This window comes from Homo sapiens, chromosome 15 (assembly GCF_000001405.40).
Source record: "Homo sapiens chromosome 15, GRCh38.p14 Primary Assembly".
Lineage (NCBI taxonomy): Eukaryota > Metazoa > Chordata > Mammalia > Primates > Hominidae > Homo > Homo sapiens.
This window is the reverse complement of record NC_000015.10, coordinates 77,105,944-77,120,606: the sequence shown is the minus strand read 5'-3', so window position 1 is coordinate 77,120,606 and position 14,663 is coordinate 77,105,944. Positions and strand designations below refer to the sequence as shown.

General features: G+C 42.9%; 1 protein-coding gene across 34 annotated transcripts in view, besides 1 other annotated feature; it reads left to right on the top strand.

Moving 5' to 3' along the window:
• PEAK1 (pseudopodium enriched atypical kinase 1) overlaps positions 1–14,663 on the top strand; it is a 320,261-nt gene that overhangs the window by 300,308 nt on the left and 5,290 nt on the right. For 33 of the 34 annotated variants that reach the window (XM_047433076.1, XM_047433057.1, XM_047433073.1 and 30 more), the window contains one exon: positions 5,288–12,449. The exons of the other annotated variant lie outside the window; for it this stretch is intronic. In XM_047433076.1, coding sequence (XP_047289032.1) covers positions 5,288–6,451 — 1,164 coding nt within the window. In that variant the 3' untranslated portion in view covers positions 6,452–12,449. Of the gene's footprint in view, positions 1–5,287; positions 12,450–14,663 lie in introns of those variants that run through there. 34 annotated transcript variants of the gene reach the window in all.
• Positions 6,170–6,358: a silencer, noted in NCBI's record as "fragment chr15:77406591-77406779 (GRCh37/hg19 assembly coordinates)". NCBI's record gives its function as "represses an EF-1alpha promoter that drives an FKBP-Casp9 reporter gene in an ReSE screen in K562 erythroleukemia cells {active_cell/tissue: K562}" and the evidence as "EXISTENCE:reporter gene assay evidence [ECO:0000049][PMID:32094911]".

Genomic DNA, 14,663 nt, shown 5'->3' with positions numbered 1-14,663 from the left:
CAAGTGATGAAGGTAGCAATAGAGATGGAGAAAAGAGGATAATTTGAAAGTTATTTAGAAGAAAAGTCAATGAGAGTTGATAATTAATTAGCCATAGGGAGTGAAGATGCAGGAGAAATCCAAAGTGAATTTGGTTTCTCATCCAGGTAACAAAGCCATTCATCAAGAGAGGGAGTACTGGGAAAGCAGTGAGTTTGGTGGGACGGAGAGTTCAGGTTTGGTTATGTTGAGTTTAAGTAATCTATGGGTTAGGACATATATGGGAAGAAATCAAGTAGGTCATTGTATAGATGAGCCTAAAGCCCAAAGACAAGGGTGCGTTACAAATGTAGACACGGAAGTCAGTAGTGTATATGACATGGTTGAAGCTATGAGCAAGCTTGCGGAAGAGAGTTTGTCAATGAAAAACTAGGATGGAGAGCAGGCACTCCAAACACCAGCACTTCACGGAACCTTTGGGAAAAAGGGTCAATGAAGAAGAATGAGTAACACCATGCCATTCAACGACAGATTAATTCCATAGTCATATCATCCAGTTTTGCACAGGTCCACCTTTCCCCCTATCCCTCTGACTTAGTTGCCTTAAACAGAGTATCTGTTGTTGAGAGAGCATCAAGAGGTATGTCCTCTCACAGGTCCCAGGCTTTGTGATCATTCTGAAAGGTTCAGTAGTGTTAGACAGCACTATCTTCTCCCCAGCTATTTTTAATGGGACTTTACAGTCAAAGCCCCTGATGGTCTACTTTTTAGAAGTTAGCTCTCTAGGTTGAAGTTATTACAAACATAAATGCTTTTTAATGACAAATTTGCCTTAAAGGTATGCAGGGCAGTTGTCATGAGCAACATGGAAAATGAGCCCCTGAACTGAAATGTATGTTTGGAATTAAACTTTTCAGGTTGTGCATGATGAATCATTTTCAAGCTCTGTTTCCCTGCTAAGATTGTAAATGTTGGGTTCTTTGACCCGAGTCTGAGAAGGTCTCAGGAGAGGGTAATTTGGCTATGATTCTGGAAGACAATATGTTGTTTCCCCTCTCCCCCAGTTTTCCAACAGATGATTTATCAGTGGTTAAAGGGTCCCCACCCTCTGTATTTAGGAATCTGGTCAGAATGCTTCAGGATGCTGTGTCTTACAGATGGGAAGTGCTCAGGAGCCATGAGATACTTGTTTGAATGATCAATTGATAATGAATTAATATTTTTCCCTTCTCTGTCCTCACTGATCTTTATTAACCCAGACAAGCAGCCAGTTTCCCTTCAAGCCTCTGTTTTTGCAACTGTAGGTTATTCATGTTGGTGCATATGTATATACCAGCTGACTGGCTGTCCCTTTTGATGTTCCTCTGACTCCTTTGGAGAATAGCTCAAGCGGGCATTTCCTGTGAGCTGGCAAGTGGGCGAGGGTCACTGTGCCCAGGATGGGCTTCTCTTCCTGTCTGTGCTCTTCACACGAGGAGTTCCCTTGGCATGCATTTGGTATTGCCAGCATCATAGAAGCAAAAGCTTATCCAGAAAGAGGCCCTATGGTGTATTTTACAAGAAGATTCAACCTTCAGCAGCCTGGTTTTGTTCTCCTGCTGCACAGTTTATAAGTAAATGACTCCTGGATATTGATATTGCAGCTCCCTCTAGTGTCACTGTGGCTCAGGCTCTCATAGCATTTTTTCTTGCCTTTCAGAAAATATAGACAGCACAGAATCTGCCAAATTCACAGCATTTTAAGTAGATTTTCCCAAACATAGCCAAGGCAAATATGAGGTGATTTTTCCCCTATTAGAAAAGGGAATGTTTAATGAAGATGTAGGACCATTCCAGTTCTAGTTTATTTTTATTCCTATTTTTAAATTTTGGGGGTCCTAGGAGGAGTCCTGAAGTAATCATTTATAGATTAAAGAGTAGCTGGCATGAACAAGTAGAATCTTTCTTGAGATTCCTCCTGCTACTCTTGAGATGCCAGCTACTCTTTATAAAGAAGGAATGTGAATTCTTTTCAAGAAAGATAATGAGAGCCAAGAAGAAGTTACTTTAATCCCTGGTAGAGAAAATACTGGGTAAGGGCAGAAGGAAAAAATTTGACAGGAAGAACCCTATCCATTTGTTCTGAAAAATTGGTTTGTTTTCTGAAATAACTTTTGAACTAGAAATTTGTTATCTGAAGTCAGGTCATTTTGAGGTTTTTTTTTTAACTAAAGGAGTTATTAATATTTGAAAAATGGCTACAATGTGGTACCTAGAATAATATAATACTCCTACCTAAATTAACATCATTGCAGGCTCCATAATAAAGATTTATGAGATACCCATCAAGCAAAATCCTATTATGGAAATCTCCATTGGTCTGTGTTTGGGTTGTAACTGTTTTCAGGGTTATGAACCAAGTAAAATCACTCTTTTTCCCTCCTCTTTTACACTCTAGTCTTCTCCCTTTTGCCTTTGCTCTTAAAGCTAGAGTGACTCATTATTCTTCAACCTGTCTATGTATTATAAAATGAAGAGATAAGGAAGTGCTGCCCACTCAGGTTATCTATCTAGGGAGACCATTTTCCTTTAGAGCATCCAAAATCGTGAAACAATTTATCATTTCTTCTTCGTAAATCACTTTGATCCTTTATCTCAAGTAGATCTGTGAAGCTAAACATAAATTCTTATTGTAGTATCCACATTCTTGTCTACTCACAAAGCTCTGGAGGACCTTATAAAAATGTGTGTGTCTGTGTGAATGTCTAGATATAATTAGAATATCACAATTAAAATACGAGTCACAATTAGAATACCTTCTCTGCTTCTAATATTAAACTACAAGGTCACAGTTTTTTTTTTCAGCCTGACTTGACATAGTTAAAAACTAGACTTGGCCAAACAATTCTCTCTCATAGCTTTAGGTTGCCCTGTCTTGGATTCTAACATACTGCTGGTGTTAACTTGTTTGTCAGGGCTGACCCTGGCTTGGAGGTATTGAATGTTAGCAGTTTCTTTTTGTCTGTCCTCTATCAAATTTGTGATCAGAGAGCCTCACTGCTGTGGCAGGTGGCTGTCGGGACTCAAAATAAAGATCTATTTTTCTGTTTTGCTCATTGTTTCAAAAAATTAGGATTCTCTAAGATTGCATTAGTTTGACATTTGCAAGTTGTTAACTGCTTTAGTCATTATCAGTGTTGCATTTGTACAACTTTGTAGTTTACAGATGTACGCTATATACTTGATCCCAATTAATCCTCACAACTGCCCTGTGAAGTAGATTTCAGTGTTCTTCATATTGTCTCCTTTAATAGGGAGACTGAGACCCAGAGAAATTAGTGAAATGCTCAAGGTTATACAGCTAGTAGCAAAGCTAAATCCCAGGCCTCCCAAGCCCTTGGAGAGTGTCATTTTTTATAATGTAACAGCTAGAGTTTAACCATCCAATCTGATTCAGCCAAATTTAGTGGTATGAAGAGTTGAGACCCTTGAGCTTTCATTCCAGAAGACAATATAATATTGAGCAAATTTAACTGGCAATGGGGATAATGGTGCCATGTGCTGGATCCAACTCCTATACAACTAAACAATGACTAGTATAGAATTTTTAAATACCTGGTAACACTTAAATGTGAAATATTGCCAACAGTGCAGTTACAAAAATAACAAATGTTATGATTGATGAGCATATAGGATTATATATTATACTGCATATACTAAGACTTCGAGAGCTTTCCAGAGATAATATTTTCTGAAAGATATATGTTTGAACTTGAACTCAGGCTGGGGATGTCTGTTCAAGACCAGAAGTTTGCTTAAAAAAGAAATACTTAGTATATCCTCAAACTGAATTAGATAGGTAGTAGAAGACTTGAAGGAACTTGTGCTGAGGTATAGATAGATAGATAGATAGATAGATAGATAGATAGATAGATAGATAGATAGATTGATTGATTTCCATGGCACTGATCACTGATATCAGGCTTCTTTAACTGTAGTAAATATGATAAACTAGAGAATAAGAGAAAGAGAGAGAGAGATGCTTTTCTCCGCTGAGACTCCCTTGTCTTTGATCTTTTTTTTTTTTTAATCTATTTGAATGGAAATCAGAATGTGCTGCTTCTCAGAACTGGGTCCTATCTGAATCTTCCTAAGAATGTGTACATTTTTCTTTTTAAATAAAAATGACTAGAAATTGCTTTTTTAAGTTTTGCTTTTCTGTATTATTGTAATAAACATGCAGTGTAAACACTACAGAGAGTGCATGTTCCTGGGAGCCTTTGATATTTGTAATGTGGCAGTGTGCCTCTGCTGAGGAGGGAGAGCAGAGAATGACCCTCAGTTAACAGGGCTGTGGAGCAGACTCCAGACCAGACTATTATGATCCATGAACTAGTATTAGAGACTCAGTCTTCCACGGTCAGCCTCTCTATAGCATGAGAATAACCCATTTGGGGGTGGTTTTACTTACTTTTTGCTTTGATAACCCCTTAAGAGTAGAAATAGAATCGTCACAGTATGTAGAACTCTTGGCTAACTTTTTTTGATCAAAAAATTCTTCCTTGATCCATAACCACTTAGTAAAGTTCTTTATGAAAGGTTTTATTGCCTCAATAGTGGGTATTAAATGAGGCCTGTTAAGAGAAAGCATAAAACTCAGAAAACCACCATTGAAATGTTGGCTTTGTTCTGACTAGGTCAGACCAGTGACTCTCTCAACCCTACCAGTGAACCATGAGTGCCAGTGTTGTGACCATCACAATGACATTCATTGAAAAGTTAGGAAAACCCACAGTTTACCTGGCCAATGTTATATCACTCTCCTAAGCTGTGAGATGTTGACACAAAGGGCGATGGGTGATGAAATAAGGTATTTTGGTCTCCATTATGAGTCCATTGGCCTGCTGTATCATTCTGGGCTACAAACCTCTACAGAAGTAAGAGAAAAATTATTTCATTGTTGTTGTTCTGATGAGGTGCAAGGTTATAGTGGAAAGAGCAGGCTTTGGCATTAAACAAACTTAGGTTTGCACACATAACCCCGGGCTTTTTTTCTTTTTTAAATTCTTAGATCCTCAATCTACTGTGAAAGGTTAATGTGAGGACTAAAAATGGTACACTTAAAGTGCTCACCACAGCCTGGCATGTAGACAACCATGAGAAATGGTTACCACCATTATTATTGCCACTTAACATGGGGCAAGCCTTGCGAACAACTTTACTATATGATCGTTTGTCCCTAACCAGTCACCTTCCAGTTAATCTTCCCTGATACATCATAAACCTGGTTATGAGAGTGTGAGTTTTGAATTGTTTTATTATCTTTCAGATCTGTAAGAGCAAAGCTAAAGAATCTCAGCAGTATTATCACAGCTTGGCTGTCCGGCAGAGTCTGGCTGTCCATTTTAACATTCAGCAGGACTGTGGTCATTTCCTTGCTGAAGTCCCTAACCGTCTGCTTCCCTGGGAGGATCCAGATGACCCTGAAAAGGATGAGGATGACATGGAAGAGACTGAAGAAGACGCCAAAGGAGAAACGGATGGGAAAAACCCAAAGCCCTGTTCTGAAGCAGCATCATCCCAGAAAGAGAATCAGGGAGTCATGAGCAAGAAGCAGAGGAGCCACGTTGTGGTCATCACCAGGGAGGTTCCATGTCTTACTGTGGCTGATTTTGTGCGAGACTCTCTGGCCCAGCATGGGAAAAGCCCTGATTTGTATGAGAGGCAGGTGTGTCTGCTGCTCTTACAGCTATGCTCTGGTCTTGAGCACCTCAAACCCTACCATGTCACTCACTGCGATCTACGCCTAGAGAACCTGCTACTTGTCCACTACCAGCCTGGGGGGACTGCCCAAGGCTTTGGGCCTGCAGAGCCCAGCCCCACCTCATCTTATCCCACTAGGCTTATAGTGAGCAACTTCTCTCAGGCCAAGCAGAAGAGCCATCTGGTGGACCCCGAGATCCTCCGGGACCAGTCTCGCCTTGCCCCAGAGATCATAACAGCTACCCAGTATAAAAAGTGTGATGAGTTCCAGACAGGCATCCTCATCTATGAGATGCTGCACCTACCCAACCCCTTTGATGAGAACCCAGAGCTGAAGGAGAGGGAATACACACGAGCAGACCTGCCTCGCATCCCATTCCGCTCCCCCTACTCCCGGGGTCTGCAGCAGCTGGCCAGCTGCCTCCTGAATCCCAACCCTTCTGAGCGGATCCTCATTTCAGACGCCAAAGGCATCCTCCAGTGTCTGCTCTGGGGCCCCCGCGAAGATCTCTTCCAGACTTTCACCGCCTGCCCTAGCCTAGTACAGAGGAACACCCTGCTCCAAAACTGGCTAGACATCAAGCGAACACTGCTCATGATCAAGTTTGCTGAGAAGTCCCTGGACAGGGAAGGTGGAATCAGCCTTGAGGACTGGCTTTGTGCTCAGTATTTGGCTTTTGCCACTACAGACTCCCTCAGTTGTATTGTGAAAATTCTGCAGCACCGTTAATGTGTACCTGGATGATGCTTTTACTACATCTTCACCTTCTTCATGTCACCCATGCACTTCCCCTCCCTAGTGCTCACTCCAAATTCAAGGAAAGAAGAAAGGCAAACCTCTATCCCTGTCCGTGAACAAGTGGGTCTATTCAGAAAGGTTATCCACTGCCCCAGATTGAATGAGAAGCTGAGTCTGTCTTAACTTTACAGAAATTCAGCTGCACAAACTTGCAGTTGCCTTCCCTTGAAACACCTTCTATCCTAATAGTCCCATAAATGCAGGTAAAAATGAAAATCCATATTCTTGAAGGGACAGCTTCTTTGGTATGAACTCAGCCAGTGAGCTGTGTCCATTTCCTCCATAATTCTGGATATCACCTATCTTTTTAGCACCAAGTATTTATTCTCACTAGCAGTAGACAGACTTAACCAGTCTCTACCACGACCCAGTAGACTCTGACAACAGACTCTTCCTTTAAGGTGTCAACAACTGACTTACTAGGCAGGACTGCCATCCTTAGCATCAGCCCAGTTTTGGTTACCAGGGACTATATCTTTTGTTCCAGGAGAGAGTAGAAAGAAAAGGAGAGATCCCATCCTTGGGTCATAGACCCATTTTCATTGCCATTATCTGTAAGTATGTGCACTGCATGGAGGACAGCCCTAATAGTCTCCCCTCTGCTGCCACTGCCTGATTCTCCACTCTGTCCCCACTTGCCAGTGAAGTTTGGATTTATCAGCCACTTGTGGCCCATTACAGAGCTGACCCAAGGTGGTGTCACCAATGCCTCAGCAGGGTGGAGTGCAGTTCAGAGCTTATAAATAGCTGGCAGGGCATGAGGAGATGATTTTCTTGCATGTGCAATTCTCTAGGGGCCATCAGGAAACAGAGTTTAAAGTACCCTTTGATTACTGTCAGAACTGTCAGCATTTGCAGTTTTCCCCGAGCAGTAATTGGCCAGCTCCCTTCTATCAGTAGCCAGTGTTAACTAGTTTACCAAATGCTGTAAACAATTGCCCTGAATGAAATAGCTGTCAGTGGAGCTCTAAGATCTCCTTTAGAGGGCACAGTGAGGTGGGCTGTTGGGATGGCCGTAGGCAGGGGAGAGGAAGAAGGCCACTGATGAGACTGCTGACCTCCTCAGAAGGTTGACCTCTTCTAGAGAGACTGCCTCCCAGTGTTTAAGTGGCTCATTGCTCCTTCTGACTCTGTAAAATGGCTCTGGAGGACAGCTCACAGGAATTCTGATTGCTGAGGTGGGTGATTGAGAGCTGTTCACCATGTGTGCAGCCTGTGCTCCCCTTCTATGGATATGTGTGCAATTTTTGTATGTATTTTTTTAGCTGTATATTACAGTGTTTATGTTGCAACTTCACCTGAAGCGAGTCTACAGAAACCCTCCCCCTTCTTCCCTTGGCACATATTTGCGCTAAGAGATGAGCGTTCCTTCCACTGGGGTTGTGTGTGTGTGTGTGTGTGTGTGTGTGTGTGTGTGTGTGTGTGTATGTATACACATGTTCACCTGTGCTTGTTTTATTCAAAACTGTGAGTATGTGTTTACTTTGACCTTGAAATCCCAAGAGTCACTCGAACAATGTGTGTGTACACTTGTGTGCCCATGTGTGCGTGCACACGCATGCTGGAAGTAGAGGCCAGGCCTCTAGAAAAGCAACCTGTGGCAGGGTTGACAGACATGTTCTCTGTGCCTAGTGAGTGAGTGAGCCCTGAGGCCCCTCATCTACCAGTGCAGAGTTTCCTTAAAGCCAAGACTGACTGTGCAGTATTACTTACATAGCACATTAGTGGCCTTGGAAATTTCTAAACTTTTAACATTTTTAACAGCTTTTCATGTGATTCATGTATAACAAAGAGGATCAGGAAAGGAAAATAATGTATTTTATTGTGCTCTTATTACTTTTTTAAGTGATTGTAATATGTGAGGCTCTATTTGGAGAATGTCCCTTATCCCCTGGCCAGCAATATAGGACTCACAGGAAAGAAGGCTGGTTAGCCCACAAAGAGTCTTGCCTCCTCTAGCCAGAGTGCAGGGCTCTGCTCCTAGGAATGGCCATGGAGTGGGCATGCTGCTGCAGGCCAGCAGTCTGCTCTTGGTGTCCTGTGGCATGGCCGCGCCTTGCCTTGAAGGTTGGTGTTTGGTTCATCTTAGCATAGAACATGTGCACATAACTCCTTGCCTGATTATGCACTGAAGGGCAGCACACAGACCACTGACCATGTCAGCCAGCACATTCCCTTAACCTCCCCCACCTCCCATCTTGCAATGTCTTGCATATTGAGATATACCTTCTCAATGTCATGTTCGTGGTGCCTTGCCCATGTAAATTTCAATGTTGACTATTTAATGAGGTTACATATTTAATGCTGAATGTTTCCTGGTCCCTCTATTTGTTATGTCTCTACTTATCTTTTTTTTTCTTTCTCTTTTTCTGTTATGATTTGGATCCAGTCTTCACTTTAACTCTATGGTATAATAAGCATGGACACCTCCACTACCATTATCTTACAGCACTGGTAAACCAAGCACCTCTTCATATCAGATGTTTTTAGTACTGTTTTTATATTCAGATTTGTTAAGGGCAAAAGATGAATGCAAACTAGCCAGAGAAAAGCCTCAGGCTTCCCAGAGACAGGTGGCTAGATTAATTTTTCTCTGGGTGATGGCCAAAGAATGTGAGATAGAGAGGGAAGGGGGTGTTACAGGTTAGAGCAGAATAGAGAAAGAAACTATATTTCTAGGCAAAAAGTACTACATGAGTTGGTCTTCAGAATATTTTTCCAAAAAAATGAAATTCAGTCAGTTTAACATTATCACAAATATTTTTCATTTTAATTGTGGTAGGACCTTTGAATTTGTTCATCAACTGGAAAGAAATCCTACCCTCTGTAGACACATACACACACATTTATATATCTATGTGTTTGAATTGTGACTAGTATAGCACTTTACATTTTCTCAAGTAACAGGAAGTTATTGCCTTCAATATTGATTGGAAATTGTTTTCTATTGAAGTCTATACTGTAGAGTTTTCCATTTATATTGAGAGTTTGAACAATTAAGCTCCTATTGGAACTTTTCCTTAAGCCACATGAGCATGAACAATCTCTGTGACACTTGGGTGCTAGAGAAACACAACAGTGGCTAAAGTAGCCAAGAGCAAGACTGAATGTATAGCAGAGTGCCTTGTTAGAGTGGTAACCTAGTCTTGGAAGCAATTCAGTGGATGTTTCATAAAGAGGACTAGAACTTCAAGAAGCCTCCTGTGCTGGCTGAGGTGAGCCCTTTTGGTATATGTACACTACTGGGTTGCCTAGAAGCCAATTCATGAAGAATAACAGCAGGATGAGAAAAAGAGTCACTGTAACCTGTGGAACAACAACGTAAGAATCACCAACCCCTAGGCTGAGCTAGAACTGGAAGCCAGGAATATGGCAATGAGTTTCAAGATTTGCCCTCAGAAGATGAACTGGGTGAGGTATGGGTTGAGGTGAGGGCACAAGCACTCATCCTACCTACCCTGCTGCTGTTGAGGAGCTAGAAGTAAAACATATTGGTTAGGATTTTAACAGTTGGAGTAGCCTCCCATTATCAGATTAAGTGGGGGTCACTTTTGCTTCCAAACTCAGAATAAGTTTGTAAACATGGGAAAGTCTAAGCCAAGAGATCTAAAGCTCTAGAAATATTAATGACATTTCTGGGAGTAAAACTACTAAAAATTATATCTTAAAAGTTTCTAGTAGTATGAAGTTCCCAGGCCAGGCGCAGTGGCTCACGCCTGTAATCCCAACACTTTAGGAGGGCGAGGTGGGCAGATCACCTGAGGTCAGGAGTTTGAGACCAGCCTGGCCAACATGGTGAAACTCCATCTCTACTAAAAATACAAAAATTAGCCGGGCATGATGGCAGGCACCTGTAATCTAAGCTACTCGGGAGGCTGAGGCAAGAGAATCTCTTGAACCCAGGAGGCAAAGGTTGCAGTGAGCCAAGATCACGCCATCGCACTCCAGCCTGGGAGATTGAGCAACTTCGTCTCAAAAAAAAGTTTCCAGGAAAGATCTTTGGGTCCTACTAAGCGTCTCAATTTTGAGTTATGAATACTTTGGTTCAGGGAAGTAACCTGACATTTGGTTTTGCTGGAATTAGGGTTTTCGCTAGATTTGACTGCAATTAGGATTTCTTCTAGATTTTACCAGCAGTGATCTGAAAAAGTACAGGCTAGTCACAGAAATAGAGATGGATTTAGGATACTACACTATATTTCAAATGATTCTAGATGTGTAAATATAGTATGAACATTCTTGGAGAGGGGTGAGACAAACTGGACTTGCTGGGCCAACCCTGGCATGTTTTTCATTCTCCTCACTAGTTGACAAGGATTGAAAATTCCGCTCCAGCCTAATGAGTGAACAGGATGGCTGCCCACAAAACCAAGTTATTAGCTTTATGTCATCGAAGCTCATATTCTCAAAGGCCCAAAGTGCTGTGCCGAGACAAATCCAAGTGCTGCTCTTGCTGAAGTGCGCACTGAAGTCCAGCTGTCCGTGCTTACAGCAGTGCCAAAAGTGGGGATTCCATGGACCAAAAACGGTGCCATAAGGGAAGCCAGAAGAGTTGCAGTGCAAGATCCTGGGAGAGATTATACCAAAGAAATCAAGCCTTTTTATCCTGATGCTTCTAAGATGATGAGGGTGAGCTGTGACAGATGCTGTGGGAGGGGAGTTCACATACATTCCATGTCAAGGCATTTAGCTGATAAATCCATCCTCAGAAAAGCACCTTTTTAAAAAGAAGTCCATTTTGTATATTAGAAGATGATGATGATGATGAAGATGAAGAAAGCCCTGGCAGATACAAAGTTCCTCAGTATTTAAGGAGAAGGATCTCTTCCATGTCCCCTTGACATGACTGTGGCTATTGCCCAAACCTCAGCTTGAGAACATCATATAATACTGAGAGCGGAAGATTTTTTTAAAGAGATATGGTAGTTTAAATAGGTTTGTTTAAAGAACTCTTGGGAAATTTCTTAACAAATTGTAATTGTTTTTATAAACCTTCCTACAGAGTTGTGTACCATTCATCATCACCATCATTTAATATCTGTAAGTGCCCAGAAGGTACAAGGTGCTATACAGCCGTTAAACACCCCCTCCCTGCAACTGTTTAAAATTAGAATAGATTTTTGCATCAACCACTGCTAGAAGCTTTCCCCACCTAGGTGGGCTGCAAGGGCCTGCATTCCCAACATCCCATTACATGTTTCCCACTCCAGAAAGTCTCTGGGTTTATTCCAGCTTTTTATCTTGACGTGTCCCATTCACCCCCATGGTTTGGTTTGGTTTGGTTTTGTTTTTTAAATCAAGAAAGTTTCAGGGAATCAAAAGAGGTCGGACATTTTTTAACCTAGCAGAAGTACAGAGTCATATATTTTGCTACGAATATTGTTGTAGTACAGAAAACCCACTTTGCCCGTTAGTGTGTGGATAGTATGTGTGTGTCCGCACTCATGATAACTTGAATGTTGAACCAGACATAGGGTTCATTTTTGAAAGGTTAAACCACACTGTTTCAGGAACTTGCTCCAAATACTACTTGGTTATCCCTTCCTTTACCAGTTAGAACTAAAGAGTGTGATGTATGAACACACTGGGTTGGGATTTTCTGTTGAGGATATGCAGGGCATTTTGGCATGAGGCAAATACAGAAGCAAGATTTCATTCTACTTGGTGATTTGAATCATGACAGTCCTCATTCCAATCTCTCTTTAATTCTCTCTGGCCCTGCCCACACTCTGTATTTGAAAATCTTGTTTTTGCTCTTTCCGGAGCTTCACCCCTCTACTTACATATTGTAAAGTTGTATAAATCTATCATTGAAAGGTCCTCTCTGCCAGCAGTGGTGCCACCCTTTGGTTTGCTGTGGTACTTTGCTGTGTACTCCGTGGCATCATGTTACTGTGTAAATAAATTCATTTTAATACACACTAAAAAACAGACAAATGCTTGTCCTTTTGGCGACTCTTCCACACTGACATGCTGGGGAGGGTTTGGTTGCAGACATGGTTATGTCTTGTCCCCCCAGGGTAGGTGCCCTGTCCATAACACAGGAAATGATGGCTTTCAGCCTGTGTGTCTTCTGCACTCTGGGTCCTCATCCCCTGCTGACATGGATTATATTTCTCTTTATTCCCTGTCTAATCTGAGGAAATCAGGCCCCAAAGAGAAAGCAAAGGCATTCTGCTTTTCCCAGACCTCAGAAGGCTGCAGGTTTGCTGTGTGAGATCGCCCTCTGGTGAGCAGTCACCTGCAGGCTTCCTGGGTTTGTACTGCATGTTGAGAGGCTTGGTTAGCTGGCTCTGGCTGACCCTCTCCGTGGAAATCAGAGCTATTCAGGTAATATGAGCGGGGACAGGGCCTGGTACTGCATCATCTGCAAGATTCGCATGCCTTTGACACAGTGATACACAGGGGCCTCACAAAGGCAGACAAGCTAATGTGTGGACACTTCAGCAGCGCAGAGGAGGCCTCCTGGCTTAAGCAGGAAGAGTCAGCAGTGGTAGCAACAACTGCCGCATTATGAGAGGAGAATAGATGAAAAGGCAAACATGTAGATCCTAAATTTAGAGCAGATTTTAGAGCACCAAACCCTTTACAGTGGACACTGTCTCCAACCCGGTGTCTCTGCTCTTCTCCACTAGCAAGCACTCTGGAATTTGCAGATGCTGTTTTTAAGGCATACCCCAGAAGAGTGGCTGCCAGACTTGAGGTTTATGTTGCTGAGGAGCAACATAACAGAACCCATGTTGGTGTGGACCCAAAAGCTCTCTGTGTGTTGCCTGGGCCCAGGAGGAAGGGTCAACAGCAAGCCTGACCAGACAATCCCCAGGGACACAGGCCCTGCCTGCTGCAGCTGTGTAGCCTGCTTGCTGGAGAAGAGCCTAGAGAACTTCCCTTCTAGTTGTCAGCACAACACACTGGCTTCTGGGGGAAAGGAAGCAAAGAAAAAAGTAGGCAGTTGGGGTTGGGAGGTCACAGAAACAGAGCGTACCAGGACCGGGCTGCTGTGTGAAGCTCTGCTGGCCTGAGTGGTCACCGTGTGTGCCAGGCCAGGTCTCACTAATGCAGGACTCCATAACAACTGATTCAGTACTGACTGAGTGATTAAATTAAATATTAAAAGCTGAAGGGGCCACTGCCCTTATACGAAGGCTGAAGTGTAACAAAAGCTCCACTGGGAGTTTTGCCTAGACCTTTCCTGGGCCTTGAAGCATGACAAAATAGCGAAGGAATTCTTAACAGGACCTGTTTAGGATTAAACAAGTTTATCGGGGGTCTGAAGGAACTCCCCATACCTCCATGATTTAGCAGGAGACAAGATTAAGGGTAATCACCCCAGCACTTGGACCCATTTAGATTAAGTAAACTTACTGAGGCTCCAGAGGAAGGTCTTCAAGACTCAGACCTTAGTTATAGATTGAAAGAAGTTGGCCGGATGTGGTGGCTCACACCTGTAATCCCAGCACTTTGGGAGGCCGAGGTGGGCGGATCACGAGGTCAGGAGATCGAGACCATCCTGGCTAACACGGTGAAACCCTGTCTCTACTAAAAACACAAAAAAGTTAGCCGGGCTTGGTGGTGGGCACCTGTAGTCCCAGCTACTCAGGAGGGTGGGGCAGGAGAATGGCGTGAACCCAGGAGGTGGAGTTTGCAGTGAGCCGAGATTGCTCCACTGCACTGCAGCCTGGGTGACAGAACAAGACTCCATCTCAAAATAAATAAATAAATAAATAGTCACTTATGTCTTTAGATGAATGCACACTTACACGTAGACATATAGCTTAGAAGGTATATAAGATGTGGGAAACCGTAATTTTGAGTTGATCTGGCAATAACTTCGAGGCCTTCTCCCTGTAACTGGTTACAGAAATAAAAACTCCCTTCTCTCCCGGTTCATCTGCATCTCGTTACTGGGCCGCAAAAATAAGCAGCCTGACCCCCAGTTTGGTCCAGAAACACCTGGAGCCCTGAAAGGATACAGGCCAGTGGATGGTGGGACCAGTTCAGGATTGCCCAAGCCAGACTCCAGGTGAGGTGGAACAAGGCCAGAAAAAACACTAAGTTTCTATTCTTCAGTGGGATCACTTTGTCCTTTGGTGTAACTGGAGAGCCTGGAGATAAATTATCCTATTCCCCTTCCCCATCACAT